General features: G+C 38.2%; 1 protein-coding gene across 7 annotated transcripts in view; it reads right to left on the reverse strand.

Annotated features, from left to right (window-relative positions):
- RGPD8 (RANBP2 like and GRIP domain containing 8) overlaps window positions 1–14,698 on the reverse strand; it is a 65,277-nt gene that overhangs the window by 24,349 nt on the left and 26,230 nt on the right. For 6 of the 7 annotated variants that reach the window (NM_001164463.1, XM_024453101.2, XM_047445676.1 and 3 more), the window contains 11 exons: window positions 13,580–13,667; window positions 11,249–11,458; window positions 8,950–9,131; window positions 8,691–8,866; window positions 8,400–8,523; window positions 7,319–7,477; window positions 6,915–7,052; window positions 6,506–6,652; window positions 5,382–5,561; window positions 5,205–5,288; window positions 1,901–2,036 (listed from right to left, as the gene is read on the reverse strand). In NM_001164463.1, the coding sequence (NP_001157935.1) occupies window positions 1,901–2,036; window positions 5,205–5,288; window positions 5,382–5,561; window positions 6,506–6,652; window positions 6,915–7,052; window positions 7,319–7,477; window positions 8,400–8,523; window positions 8,691–8,866; window positions 8,950–9,131; window positions 11,249–11,458; window positions 13,580–13,667 (1,624 nt within the window). Of the gene's footprint in view, window positions 1–389; window positions 503–1,900; window positions 2,037–5,204; window positions 5,289–5,381; window positions 5,562–6,505; window positions 6,653–6,914; window positions 7,053–7,318; window positions 7,478–8,399; window positions 8,524–8,690; window positions 8,867–8,949; window positions 9,132–11,248; window positions 11,459–13,579; window positions 13,668–14,698 lie in introns of those variants that run through there. The other variant, XM_017004826.3, reaches the window with a different exon arrangement.

Here is a 14,698-nt window from a genome sequence, read left to right on the forward strand (position 1 = left end):
AAGGAACAGAATTTACAGTACTTCCATGTGATGGGATACCATGAACTCATTAATATTCAAAAAACATTTAAGTTTAAAAATGCTCAGAACTAAAGTAACATTTTAAAAACAGGCTAGCTCATCTACACACAACATAGTAACATGGTAACAATCTCATAAAAAATACTATATGTATAGAGAAAGAACCAGAAGGAAATGCTCTCAAATATAAGAAATGTTAATAAGGTGGTTAGCTTTTAGTTTTCTTCACCCTGTTCAGTACTTCTGAGTATCTCCTATGAGCTCATTAATCTTTAATTTTAATCATCTTATTTTAAAAAAACAAGGACCATCTTGATATATGTTTACTTTTATTAAGGAAAAAGAATCTATGAACACAGGAACAGAAATCAGGAGATCTTGGCTCTCGCCCTTTCAGTGCCACAAAGCTGTTTTGTGAACCTGTAAATAATCCATTTGGAGTCTCCATGTTTCTCAATTGTAAAATGACGATGTGCTGCTTCTACACATTTCACAGGGTCATTGCAAGAATAAAATGAGACAATGAGAATGTTGGATTTACATGCTTGTATAAGAACAGAAGACCTTTTATGCCTGTACACAGAAGAAATGGAAATCATGACCCACAAGGCACCAAATAACTGACTGCACACATCACTAAAAAAGCCCCAGGAAAGGCTAGCCGGTTTGTTTATCCTCTTACAAGGACCTATATGATGTGTAAGGTTTTAAGAAAACAAGGTTTGAACGTTAGACATTTCATATACTTATCTATGACTTACGACATTTAATAAGCTTGACTTCACAAAGATTTTCTGTTATTTTGCTTGTGTTGAGAAGATACTATCACAAAAGGCTAGTGGGGTTGCCTTAACTATAGGAACCATCACACAAATGTGCTCATCTAAACTAGATTTTTTTCTAAATCTTTCCTGGGCTAAAAAGAGAAAAAAAAAAAGGGCACTACTACTACCATTTCAGAAGTCTGTCGTACGTAAAAGGAACAATTTTGTTATTTCTGGCTGCCTGGGAGCAATGTATTATACTGGCAAGTGCTTTGGAGTTACACCACTGGAGTGTGAATCTCGGCTCTATCAATAACTAGCTGTATAATAATGAGTAAGTTACCTAACCTTTCTTTATCCATTTCCTTATTTATAAAAAAGGGATTAATAATGGTGCCGGCCATTCTAAGTTACTGTAATTAAATCAAATTACATTCACACAGCACTTTTGCACACAGCCAACCCACAGTAAACACTATTAGTAACCTTAGTTCATTAACTGTTTACTGTATACTCTAATAAATGTCTGATACACACCCACGCCCACCTGCACATACACAAATGCTCATAGTAATTATGTAAGGCAAGTATTATCTCCACATTTCAGACAGGTTAACTTACACAGCTATTATAGTAAGTGATAGAGCAGAACTTAAAAACCCAGTATGATTCAGGTCCAAACTCCTTTTCTTTCTTTATATAACCATAATATTTCAAATTAAGTAAGATTTCCTATATAACGTCCTGCCTCTCATCATTATCATCAAAATAATTCCCCAGAGGTGTAGGTTCTTAATTAAGCATTTCTTAGTGCATAACTCTATTCAATAACATTTTGCAATTTAAGGAATAATCTCATCTCAGCTCATCTGAGGTGTGGATTAAGTGTTCTTTAAGCCTTTATATACACGTGATCACATACGGCTCGTTTTTTCTGCTTGGGATTATAAAAATCTCCGTAACACCTAATACAGCTTTTGAAGTCACATATAAACAGACGTTGACATGTATATTAACAAACATATATAAACAAGGTGATTTCACACGTTATCTACTTAAAAGAGGGAAGTAAAGTAGTTTTACTAAAATATGCGATTATCCACTTGCCAGCTCACCTGTTAGTGGAGCCCCATGAAATGTCTGTGACCCCTGATATCCATCAGGCACCGAGTCTGGTCCATAATTCTCTGTGGGCCAACGATGACGGGATGCTGACTTACTGCTATTTAGTTTCAACTCCTGCATTTCTTTCTATTGGAAGAAAAAAAAAATCAAATAATTTTAATCATTTAATTATATCATGCCAGAAACAGTGCTGGGGAAACTTACTCTTTTAAATTTAAATAACTGATTTTTTCTTTTTTTCTTTTTTGAGATGGTGTCTCGATCTGTCGTCCAGGCTGGAGTGCAATGGCACAATCTTGGCTCACCGCAACCTCCACCTCCTGGGCTCAAGCAATTCTCCCACCTCAGCCTCCCGAGTAGCTGGGATTACAGGCGTCAGCCAGCACGCCCGGCTAATTTTTGGTATAATAGTAGAGATGGGGTTTCACCATGTTTGCCAGGCTAGTCTTGAACTCCTGACCTCAAGTGATCCACCACCTCAGCCTCCCAAAGTGCTGGGATTATAGGTGTGACCCACCACGCCCGGACCTGATTATATCTTTTGAAAGTTTCTATTTGCCAAAGAGTTCTAGGTACCTGGTGCTGATTTTAAAATATGATTCTTAATTTGTTAAAAATTTATCTGCTCCCATTTTCATTCGTTAATACAAAACCTAATTCATTAACTCTCTCACCTAAACAAATAACCTCCTAAATGATCACACCTTCATTTCCATTCTACACTTGCCTACATTAACCTTTCTGACGTTCACCTCCAGCCAAGACAATTCCCTGCTCAAAAAAACAAGTACCTACAAACTAAACTTCTTTCCCCAACTTTCACAGTCCTCTAACATTACACTGACCATCCTTTCAGTGTGTTCTTTCTACACTGCAACCTGGACTACCTGACATTCCAAATCACCTCCCCAAATTAGCTTTTCACTTAACCCTGTGTTCAAACAAAATACAACTAATTCTCAAGGTGATGTTCAAATGCTCCACCAGGAAAGGGAAAAAAGTAGTAGCTGCAGAGAATTTATTATGTATATAATAATACGTCCAATGCACTTAAACTCTTAATTTTTACACCATCTACACTGTTAGGTAAACAATATTAGCTCCTATCTTAAAATGAGAGAAACGGATGCAGGGAATAACAGCTGGAATTTGAAACACATCTGACTCCAAAAATGTTTTCTTAACACAACTCTGCTGCCTTGACAAGATGGCAGATAGATCCAATGCCGTCTAGTGTAGCTATGTGGCTACCTGATCTCTGCTGAAGAAAACTAAATGACAGCACCATACCCAACACCCTAGAACCTACAAAATGTCCCCTTACAAAACAGACACTTAACAGGAAATTCTTTTTCCAAAGAAATTGTAGTGGTATCAGAAAACAGGTAAATTTTGAAAAGTTTCAAACTTCTCTGTATCAGCCCAGGAATCCGATCAGTTCTAACAAGTGAGGTCAGGGACAGATCTAGCATGTCTGCTTTCTGTTTCTACAAGTGTTTCAATTAAAAATTTCCCAGAAAGACCTAACCATGAGGTCCAAAACTATCTCAATTTTCAAGCTAAATAAAATTTCCCCCATTCATCCATCTACAGTGCCTAGTCCAGATGCTACACATACACATCCAAGAAATAAGAAACTAGTGGAATCACCTAGAAAACTTTATAGTCACTGTTGGTATCCGCACCAGAGCTTTGAATTTGCAATCACTGCTGTAACTGTAATTTTTAACATTCAGTGTGATGAGAACTGGCTTCAATAATTCTCTCATTTTAAAGATAAGAAGCCAAACAGTCACAAAGGAAGTGACTGGCCCAAGATCATTAATTAATGGCAGAGTCAGTACTAGTACCAAGCTTTTCAAGCTCATGGACTAGTGCTCCACTATACTTCCACAGAATACAATGTTGGGAGCCTGAAACCTGTATGTTAAGTCAAAATTGTATGTAATTGTCATAGGCCACGACTACACAGAATTAACATTCAAAATTTTTGTGCAAATTCAAAAATGTCTTCCCCACCAAATAGTATTCTCTTAATTTGCAAATGCTGCTGATCACACTGTAATAATCGCCACACATCAGCATATCCTTGATGTAACTTTAGCAGTATGAGTAATTTAGTTCTTGCTTGATAAACATGAAAGAACCTACTTTTATTTCCAATTCCAAAAAAGTCAAGCTCCTTTGAACCCTATTGTTAAAATAAGATATATATACATAACTATTTCCTTACATAATTAAGTCAAATTCATATGGAAGTATTAAAATATAGTAAGACTTTTTGAAGCTCAGACCACTTTTCGATTCCTAGCTATACATTTGAAACACATGTAATCCACAGCTAATCTGGGAATGAACTCATAGACCAGAGTATGATTAGTACATTGTAGCACTTCAATCACTCGGGAACCTTCTCTGTGTCAGGAACTCTTATATTTTAAATAAAACAGTTTCTACCTTTGAAGGTCTCAAATTTTGTGGAAGATGAGGAGAGAGACACATAAAGTACTTTCAAAAATATGGTAAAGGGCTGGGTGCGGTGGTTTACACCTGTAATCCCAGCACTTTGGGAGGCCAAGGTGGGCAGATCACCTGAGGTCAGAAGTTCAAAACCAGCCTGGCCAACATGGTGAAACTCTGTGTCTACTAAAAATACAAAAATTAGCTGGGCCTGGTGGCGGGTGCCTGTAATCCCAGCTACTCGGGAGGCTGAGGCAGGAGAGTCACTTGAACCTGGGAGGTGGAGGTTGCAGTGAGCCAAGATCACACCATTGCACTCCAGACTGGGCAACAGAGTGAGACTCCATCTCAAAACAAAACAAAACAAAATATGGTAAAGGGTCAAGACCGAGGTATGTAGGCTGGGCACAGTGGCTCACACCTGCAATCCCAGCACTTTGGGAGGCTGAAGCAGGAGGATTGTTTGAGCCAGGAGTTCAAGGCCACCCTGGGCAACATGGCAAAATCCCATCTCTACAAAAAATACAACAATTAGCTGGGCCTGGTGGCATGTGACTGTCTGTAGTCCTGGCTTCGTGGCAGGCTGAGCCAAGAGGCTCTCTTGAGCTAGGAGGTTGAAGCCGCAGTAAGCTGTGATCATACCACTGTACTCCAGCCTGCACAACAGAACAAGACCCTTGTCTTAAAAAAAAAAAAAAAAGACCAAAATGTCCCCTTGCCATACTATTTGGATGGCAAGGGGACATTCTGACCAGCTTCAGAAAAAAAGTGAGAGAGTAGCCAGGGAAGGAATCTTGGAATAAAAAGTACAGCTAGAGAAATTAAGTGACTTACCTTAATGGCCTCTACTTGTTGGCAAATCATATTCAGTAAAGAATTCCGATCTTCTGTCCATCGAGGTGGTGTTTCGGGAGAATACTGAAAAAAAAAATAAAAATAACAAAACAGCATTTAAAACACTTAGAACAGAAACAATTTCACAATGAAATGATTCCATTCTTTCCTGTTTACCTTGTAACTTTTACTTGGTGATAGTGAATATTTGGTAGGAGACGGTGTAGAATGTTTTATTTCTGAATCTGCATTTCGCAAAGAACCATTTTTATAGAGAGGACCTCCTTCACTATAGTCTTCGAGTTCCTGCATGACTGAATTAAGCATCTGTTTTACAGACTCCAGGGGCACAGGCAACTAAAAATAAAAGACATTAATTAAGGGCTTTCATTTGCAAAAAATTCCAAAAGTAAAAACTCTAAAATGATATATTTTATCTTATTTACATTTTTGTCACTTTAATAAGCACTTTACACTTTAAATAATAATACACGTGAAAGTGTTTTTTAATTATCTTTTTTCTTTGTTTTTCTGTTGTTTTGTATTATTATTTTTATTTTTTTGTCTTTATTCTATTTTTTTCTTCAGGAACACAGAAAAGTGTTGTACAGTCTAACATCTTCTGATTCTAAAGTCCATGCTCTTTCTATTACTTCTGTTAACCATGATAATTGTAGAGGAATGTTAACTTGGAAAGCTTTTCCAAGTGAACAAAATAAGTTACTGATGTTTTCTAACTGATTTTCAATGGTGACAGAAATACAGATGCTACAATACACCAGACAACATAAATCCTAATAAAAGAGTAGTAACACAAATTAATCAACAAAACACTCAGAAGACTGAACATAATTTAACATCATCATGACAATCTCAAACAGCTGACAGCAAGAAAACAAGGGCGTTCATAATGGCTGATGACGATGAGAAGAAATGCTCTTAAGTTGTCAGCAACAACTTTCAATTTCAGCAAAGTTCATTAAGAATTAGTCCTGAGGTTATAATATTTGTTTTGATTACACTGCTAAGATAACAAAATCAATGTCTTATCTTAGAAATCTTTTCTAATTCCCCAAGAAGTACTTTTTAAGAGCATATACCTAGATTCCCAAGTTTAAAAAGACACACCAAACCTAAGACAAAGCAAGCAAATCTAAGCATTTAGACACACGCATCCCTTCTGTGCATTAATAACAACATATTACTGAGTATTTTTGAAATTACCAAAATATAAGACCAACGCAAAAACACTGACCAGTGGGTTATCAGTAAGAACGTACATACAACAACCTGCTACTTACTTTCTTGACCACTGAAAGATTTGAATCACCGTCATCTATAATCTTTATTAGGTAGTCCCTGGTCTTTGTCAGATAATTTCTGCATTCTTCTTGTTCTTCAGGAGAAAGGGCATCATTTTCAATGTCTTCTGCCTTCCTGTGAAAAATCTATACAAATAGTGCTTTCATGAAATCATTAGCTTTTTAAAACAAAAAACTTTCAGCTTGGCCACGCATGGTGGCTCATGCCTGTAATCCCAGCAACTCGGGAGCTGAGGCACAAGAATCGCTTGAGCCTGGGAAGCAGAGGTTGCAGTGAGCCAAGATTGTGCCACTGCACTCTAGCCTGGCCAACAGAGAAACCCCGTCTTTTAAAAAAAATAATAAATAAATAAATACAACTTTTAGCTCAAGTACTGCATCTACTTACCAGTGCAAGATTCCAATAAGAAACAACACTTTTTATAGATTCAAAAGCAGTCACAGCATCTTCTATATTTCCATTTACTGCATCCAATATAGCAAAAGTTATGTGTGCGTCTTCTTCATATTCAACAATTTCTGATGCCTAAACACATAGAATAGTTTTTAGTCAAATTGTTTATACTCAGAATATAAAACCCAAATGATTTTCCAAAGATTTTATATGATCTTAAGAGACAAACATCTCATTACTCTTCTCTGTCATATCTTATCTGTGAGAGCTAGTGAATTTAGAAAACAAGATTACCGTTAAATAACAAGGCAATTAATTTAAGCAGTTTATAGCTCCACGTCTTTGTTTATAAACTGGAAATTCCCATCTCCAATAAATTCATAAAGGAACTCTGTTACCTGAATGTCTACACTATGAAAATGTTTAAACAGAGGATCAATAGGTTCAGGAATACTGTTCTTCTTTATTATCTTCAACAATGGCAAAACTTTCTTCCAATAATGAACACTTCTCCCTATGTATTCTAGTTGACCATAAAAAGAATTAAGACCGCTGCCCTAAAAAAGAAAGTTAAAAGCACACAACTTTAAGGAACACGCATGATTAGATCTAAAGTTCATTTACAAGTTGTAAGAACTGGCTAAAATTTCAAGTCAAAACCAAATGGTACCTCAATAGTCATTTGTTCAACTTCCAAATACTGTAATAACTAAACCACCTTAATACCAGTGAACTCACTGCAACCTCTGCCGTGCAGGTTCAAGCAATTCTCCTGCCTCAGCTTCCCAAGTAGCTGGGATTACAGGCACCTGCCACCATGTCTGGCTAATTTTGTAGTTTTAGTAGAGTTTTTTTTTGTATTTTTAGCAGAGACGGGGTTTCACCGTGTTAGCCAGGAATGATCTCGACCTCCTGACCTTGTGATCTGCCCGCCTCGGCCTCCTAACGTGCTGGGATTACAGGTGTGAGCCACCGCACCCGGCCTCTACACTCAACTTTTAAATGCTTCTAATGATACCACTCTAACGTAGCAATCCAAACTACTTTTTAACAGTTGTCCTTTTTAGATAGCTGAAACCTGCCTCTTCTGTAGTGTCAGTTTGTTCAAAAGGCTGACCATCTACACCTAATGGTGACACAAAACACACCTTAAATATTTAGAAAGATCTATAATGGTCTTACCTACAAAGCCTTGTGCTAATTTTTTTTTTAATTTTCAGGCTGAATAATTATCAGAACTTAATTATTAAGGAATAACAGTAACAGCTCAGCTAATATGTAACATTCACTGTGTGCCAGGCATTGCTCCTCTAAGTGCTTATATTTAACTACATTAACTATTTTGCAGCAATAAAAAACACATCTGTCATAATATGACCAAGCTGCTGTTTTCAGAACAAAAAAACTTTCAATAAAAAGTTCATGATTTTAAAAAATTAAGGTAATGTTCATTAAAAATGCTTATACTTTAAAACTCACCGTTTTCTGAAGGTATTTTGCCCAATGTACAAGCAGAGCAGGTTGAAGGCCATGTTTTTCCTGGGCTCTTAGAGTGTTTATTTCATGCTGAACTAGAAGTCTCAATTTTGCCAAGTTTCCAGGTCTAAAAAATAGTTCAATTTACTAAAATTGCTTTCTAAATACACAGTTCAGCGCTTACATACATATATGTTAATGGGTCACATGACAAATTAAATCTTCACACGAGGATTAAATCCCCGGTAAAACCTACGCACTAAGTGAAAGCAATATTTTTGTTTTACTACTTACACTGCTTTTCTGTGAATCAGAGTACAAACCGCATCCCACCAAGATTTTTGTCTTTCTGTACAAAGCTGTTTACACACAGGAAAGGGCAGGCATAACGGCTGATAGGAGCTATGGTGAGAATTACATTTCTCCTTTAATTGTAAGTGGCTGGTATATACTACTCCAAGGAGAAATACCTGTTTCATTTAAGGAAAAGTTAAGTTAGAAAAAAAAATTAAACAAAATTCAGAATATTTAATTTGTTAAAATCTTTGCTTACTTCAAGATCTAAAATACATATTGATTCAGGCGCATTTGTTTCAAGCCTTGAGGTTTCATGGGGCAAACGATGGAAAAGCTGTTTTAGCCATTTTCGGATTCCAGGTAAAGCAGGCAATGAATTCCACTGTAAGCCAAGCCAAGTAAGATGCTGAAGACTACCATTATGTGCTCGAATAGCACCTGAAATAAAATTTAAAAATTGGCTTAAGGGTTTGAAATTTTTCTTTGTGCCATTAGTTTTGCCAACATAAACAATTCACATTATATATATCTTAATTATATAACTGCTTTTCTATATCAAAGCTGGAGGGAATTCTATGTTAGGCAAAATCTCATGTTCTTATTAAATGCATTCTCACTTGATTATTTCTAGAAATTTTAATAAAAATAGTAGTGATGAAGAATGTTTAAGTCCATCTTAAAAAATGACACTGACTAGAACTCAATAAACCAAAATCAACTGACAAAAGCCAAATAAAGAACACCTAACCTAATAAGAAACCCCAAAACAATGGGTTTTGCTTTAAGTCATTAAAGCAATGGAACACCACTATATTAATCCATCGGTACAGTAAAGAAATCTGTTTTTCTACAAGAAAGTCAATATTGAAAATGTTATGCGCAGTCAGGAGTTCGAGACCAGCCTGGCCAGCATGGTGAAACTCCGTCTCTACTAAAAATACAAAAAATTAGCCGAGCACGGTGTCACATGCCTATAGTCCCAGCTACTTGGGAGGCCGAGGCAAGACAATTGCTTGAACCTGGCAGCCGAGATTGCGCCACTGCGCTCCAGCCTGGGTGACAGAGCGAGACTCTGTCTCAAAAACAAGAAAAGAAAAGAAAAGAAAAGAAAAGAAAAGAAAAGGTTATGCGCTTCTGGAAGCATGAAGAGGTATAATCTTTCTGTCATTTTGGCAATTTGCAAGACTTAAAGATGTTCATGTCCTTTGTCTCAGTAATTCTGTTTTTAGGTATCTCTATGGAAATAACTTGCAATGAAGACACTTTTTGTTGAAGTTTTTATCAGAGTATGATTATTAACAGTGGAAAAGTTGAGAAAACTTGGATGCCCAATAACAGAAAGTAGCAAGCAAATTATGACTACTTCATAAAAAAGATTATATTGCCAATAAAAGTGATATTTATAGTTTTAATACACAGACTATGGGAGAGAATTCATGAAGGAAGCAAGATAAATCATACATAAACAACCATTTAGATGAAAAATATGGCCAGATGCAGTGGCTCATGCCTATAATTCCAACACTTTTTGTTTTTGAGACGAAGTCTCGCTCTGTCGCCCAGGCTGTAGTGCAGCAGTGTGATCTTGGCTCACTGCAACCTCCACCTCCCGGGTTGAAGGACTCTCCTGCCTCAGCCTCCTGAGTAGGGACTACAGGCACATGCCACCACCCCCGGATAATTTTTGTATTTTTAGTAGAGACGGGGTTTCACCATGTTGGCCAGGATGGTCTCGAACTCCTGATCTCAGGTGATCTGCCCGCCTCGGCCTCCCAAAGTGCTGGGATTACAGATATGAGCCACTGTGCCGGGCCTAATCCCAACATTTTGGGGGGCTTAAGCAGGAGGATCACTTGAGCCTAGGAGTTGGAGACTAGCCTGGGCAACAAAGGGAGACCCTGTCTCTGCCAATTAAAAAAAAAATTATCTGGGCCGAGTGGCATGTGCCTATGGTACCAGCTACTCAGGAGGCTGAGGCAAGAGAATCCCTTGAGCCCAGAAGTTCAAGGCACCAGTGACCTACGATCATGCCACTACACTGCAGCCCAGGTGACACAGCGAGACCCTGTCTCAAAATACAACAAGGCTGGTCGCAGTGGCTCACACCTGTAATCCCAGCACTTTGGGAGGCCAAGGCAGGTGGATCACCTGAGGTCAGGAGTTTGAGACCAGCCTGACCAACATGATGAAACCCCGTCTCTACTAAAAATACAAAAAATTAGCCGGGCGTGGTGGCGGGCATTTGTAATCCCGCTACTTGGGAGACTGAGGCAGCAGAATCACTTGAACCAGGGAGGCAGAGGTTACAGTGAGCCGAGATCGCACCACTGCACTCCAGCATGGGCGCCAAGAGCAAAACTTGGTCTCAAAAACAACAACAACAACAACAAAAAATACATGCCACCCCCACAGCACCACATTCAAACTCCCCCCAGCCCAACCCACACACAAAAGGAATACAGGAAAATATTAAGTCGTTATTTCTGGGTAATAACATTATGGGCAATTTATAAGAATTAAGACGGAGACCATTTCCTCTGAAACATATAACTTACCAACATCGTATCTAGCCAAATCTTCAAGCTCTGGTTCTTGTACATCAATTTTTCCAATATCATCGCTACCAAGAAAAGATGTATCCTTAGGTGACTGACTAGAAAACAGAGCATCATATAACGCAGACTGCCCAATTTTGTTGGCAAAAGTTTCAACAACCTCTTTTAAGAAATCTTGCTTGCCACGACTTAAGCTTAGCAACATGTGCCCTGAAAAAAAAATTTAAGTTATTTCCATCACTTTAAAAATACAGATTGTATTTGCTCACGTTGTCTCATTTGTATACCCAAAGGGGAAATAACATGATTATTGCAAACCTAACCCTCCAACCCAAAAAATACAGCTGGACAACAAAATGGGTGCTTATGTAGCAAATGAAAAGAGTACAGGTTTAATATTCTCAGTATCTACATAAGACAGCAGAACGGGGAAAAAAGACAGGAATGTGTATGAAAAATGCCAAACATATTTGCACTTTAGATGAAAAGGTCTGGATTTAAGTGGCCATAGGAGAACAGGGACAAGCTCTTATTCTCTGATCTGATACACTGATTTCTGAACCTGGCTGATCAGAATCCTCCTTTAAACAGCTTTTAAGAATTATTTCCAGCTGGGCACGGTGGCTCATGCCTGTAATCCCAGCACTTTGGGAGGCCAAGCTGGGTGGATAATGAGGTCAGGAGATCAAGACCATCCTGGCTAACACAGTGAAACCCCATCTCTACTAAAAATACAAAAAAAAAAAAAAAAATTAGCCGGCCCTGGTGGCGGGTGCCTGTAGTCCCAGCTACTGGGGAGGCTGAGGGAGGAGAATGGCGTGAACCCGGGAGGCGGAGCTTGCAGTGAGCCGAGATCACGCCACTGCACTCCAGCCTGGGCGACAGAGTAAGACTGTCTCAGGAAAAAAAAAAAAAAAAAAGAATTATTTCCAGGCCTTGTTCCCAGAGATTTTTATGCCATAGGTTTACAGTAAGCAATCAAAAAATCATAGTCCTCGGATAAAGTACTGATACATGCTATAACACAGATGAACCTTGAAAACCTTGCTAAATCAAAGAAGCCAGTCACAAAAGACCACATACTATGATTCCATTTATGTGAAATGTTCAGAAGAGGCAAACCTACAGAGACAGATTAGCGGTTGCCAAGGCTGAGAGGTTTGGGTAAAATGGGGAGTAACTGCTAATAGGTAAGGAATTCCTCACGGAGTGATGAAAATCTTCTAAAACTGACTGTGGTGACAGTGGTAATACTCTATGAACATAGTAAAAGCCACTGAACTGTACACTTTAAATGGGTGAAGCGTATGGTATACGAATTATATTTCAATTGAACTTTTTTTAAAAACCCTCCTTCGAGTTAATTCTGCTGGGCAATTAGGTTTGGTTACCACTACACAGTTGTGTCTCAGCACACTTACAGAGGCACCCTCGGAATGCCCAGATCAAAGACATAAAAAAAAGATACAGGCAATTTTTATCTAACTGTGACACCATGCAAAGGCACTTATGAGAGCCCTGCAAGGGTAGAAGGAAAAGAGAAAAGGGAAAAAGTAGAAAGTCACTTTAAGGACTGAAAGCCTAACTCCCACAAAAAAAGTGGGCTATGGAATAAAAGAGCAATGTGAGCTCTGGCCAACAGCCTAACTATACACCAAAGCTTATAATAACTTTGATTTAATATTACATCTTGCTCTTTACAAAATTCATCCAATTTTATATCAAAACTGCTCCTTATAGAAAGCATTATGTTTCTTCAGTTCACTGCTTGATTCAATGGCCATCTAACTACCTTAAAGTTTGTATCTTAGCAAAATCACAGGTAATATGCAACAGACCTTTAGGATTCATCCCAAGCCAAAAATGGGGGAAAAAATCCACAAATTCCAAGAGCCTAATATAAGGTAAGTATATATCTTCTATCTTCCTCACTATGCTCTCAGCTCTTTAAGACAGATCCGTATCTTCTTCATCTTTATATCCCCACAGCAGTGTTTTTAGAATCAGCTGGTGTTAAATGGTTGGCAAATCAATAATTATACTTAGTTCAGGAAGTGACTAAATATTCAGGATAGAGGCTCTAGCAGCCAGATGAAGAAAGAGTTAAGAAATCCTCTCCACATAGGAACAAACAATATCAAATATTCATTTTTTTAAAAGAATGTGCTATTTCTTCGCATCTCTTCCATACCTATTGCTCTTAACTGATACGGCAAAAAGAAATAATTTTGACAAATTATCTCCTGGACAGATGAAGATTTTATCATAAGATATGCCTTAACAGAAATTCCTTTTTCTTTTTAAATTAAATTAGTTTAATATTACTATTACCTGATTGGCTCAGTCGGTCACAGGCCATCATTTCCAGCAGATTTTGTCCAGCTTTACCTTCTCTTAATTTAATCTTTGGTCTTGGAACCTAATAATTTTAGAATCAAAAATCTTAATTTGATGATACCCATACTTCTAATAGTAACATGGTCTTATCTATTACACTGTACTTTTTTTGATAATGAATAAACAGTTAACCATTAATTAAACTGAATTGGAAAAGACTGCAAAAACTGGGAACCAAGGAATTTATATAACCTATGAAAGATAGGCCAGGTACAGGCGTGGTGGCTCACACCTGTAATCCCAACACTCTGGGAGGCCAAGGTGGGCTGATCACTTGAGGTCAGGAGTTCGAGACCAGCCTGGCCAACATGGTGAAACCCAGTCTCTACTAAAAATAATAAAAAAAAAAACAAAGAGCCAGGCGTGGTGGCACACACCTATTAATTCCAGCTACACGGGAGGCTGAGGCACAAGGATAGCTTGAACCTGGGAGGCAGAGGTTGTAGTGCGCCGAGACTGCGCCATTGCACTCCAGCCTGGGTGAAAGAGCGAGACTCCATCGCAAAAAAAAAAAAAAAAAAGAGGGGCCAGACATGTTGGTTCACACCTGTAATCCCAGCACTTTGGGAGGCCGAGGTGGGGGGATCACTTGAGCCCAGAGTTCAAGACCAGCCTGAACAACACGGTGAGACCCTATCTCTAAAAAAAGTTTTTTTTTAATTAGCCAGGCGTGGTGGCACACACCTGTGGTCCCAGCTACTCAGGAGGCTGAGGCAGGAGGATCACTTAAATCCAGGAGGTCAAGGCTGCAGTGAGCCATGATCATGCCACTGTGCTCCAGCTTGGGCGACAGTGTGAGACCCTATCTCCAAAAAAAGAAAAAAAAAAAAAAAGCATACACAGAGCAGCTCTGAGAAATTAGTTTCTACTAAAAGCACATTCATGTTACATTCAGAGAAATGGAAAATTTAATTACATTACTTTTCTACCCTGCATAAATAGGACAACAGCAGATGTTGTCCTATTTGAGTAGATATGACACCCTACTTTAAAAAGCACAGGTGAAATGACACTTGGAAATGCCACATTGTAGATAACACATTTTCAGAGTAT

This window comes from Homo sapiens, chromosome 2 (genome assembly GCF_000001405.40).
Source record: "Homo sapiens chromosome 2, GRCh38.p14 Primary Assembly".
Lineage (NCBI taxonomy): Eukaryota > Metazoa > Chordata > Mammalia > Primates > Hominidae > Homo > Homo sapiens.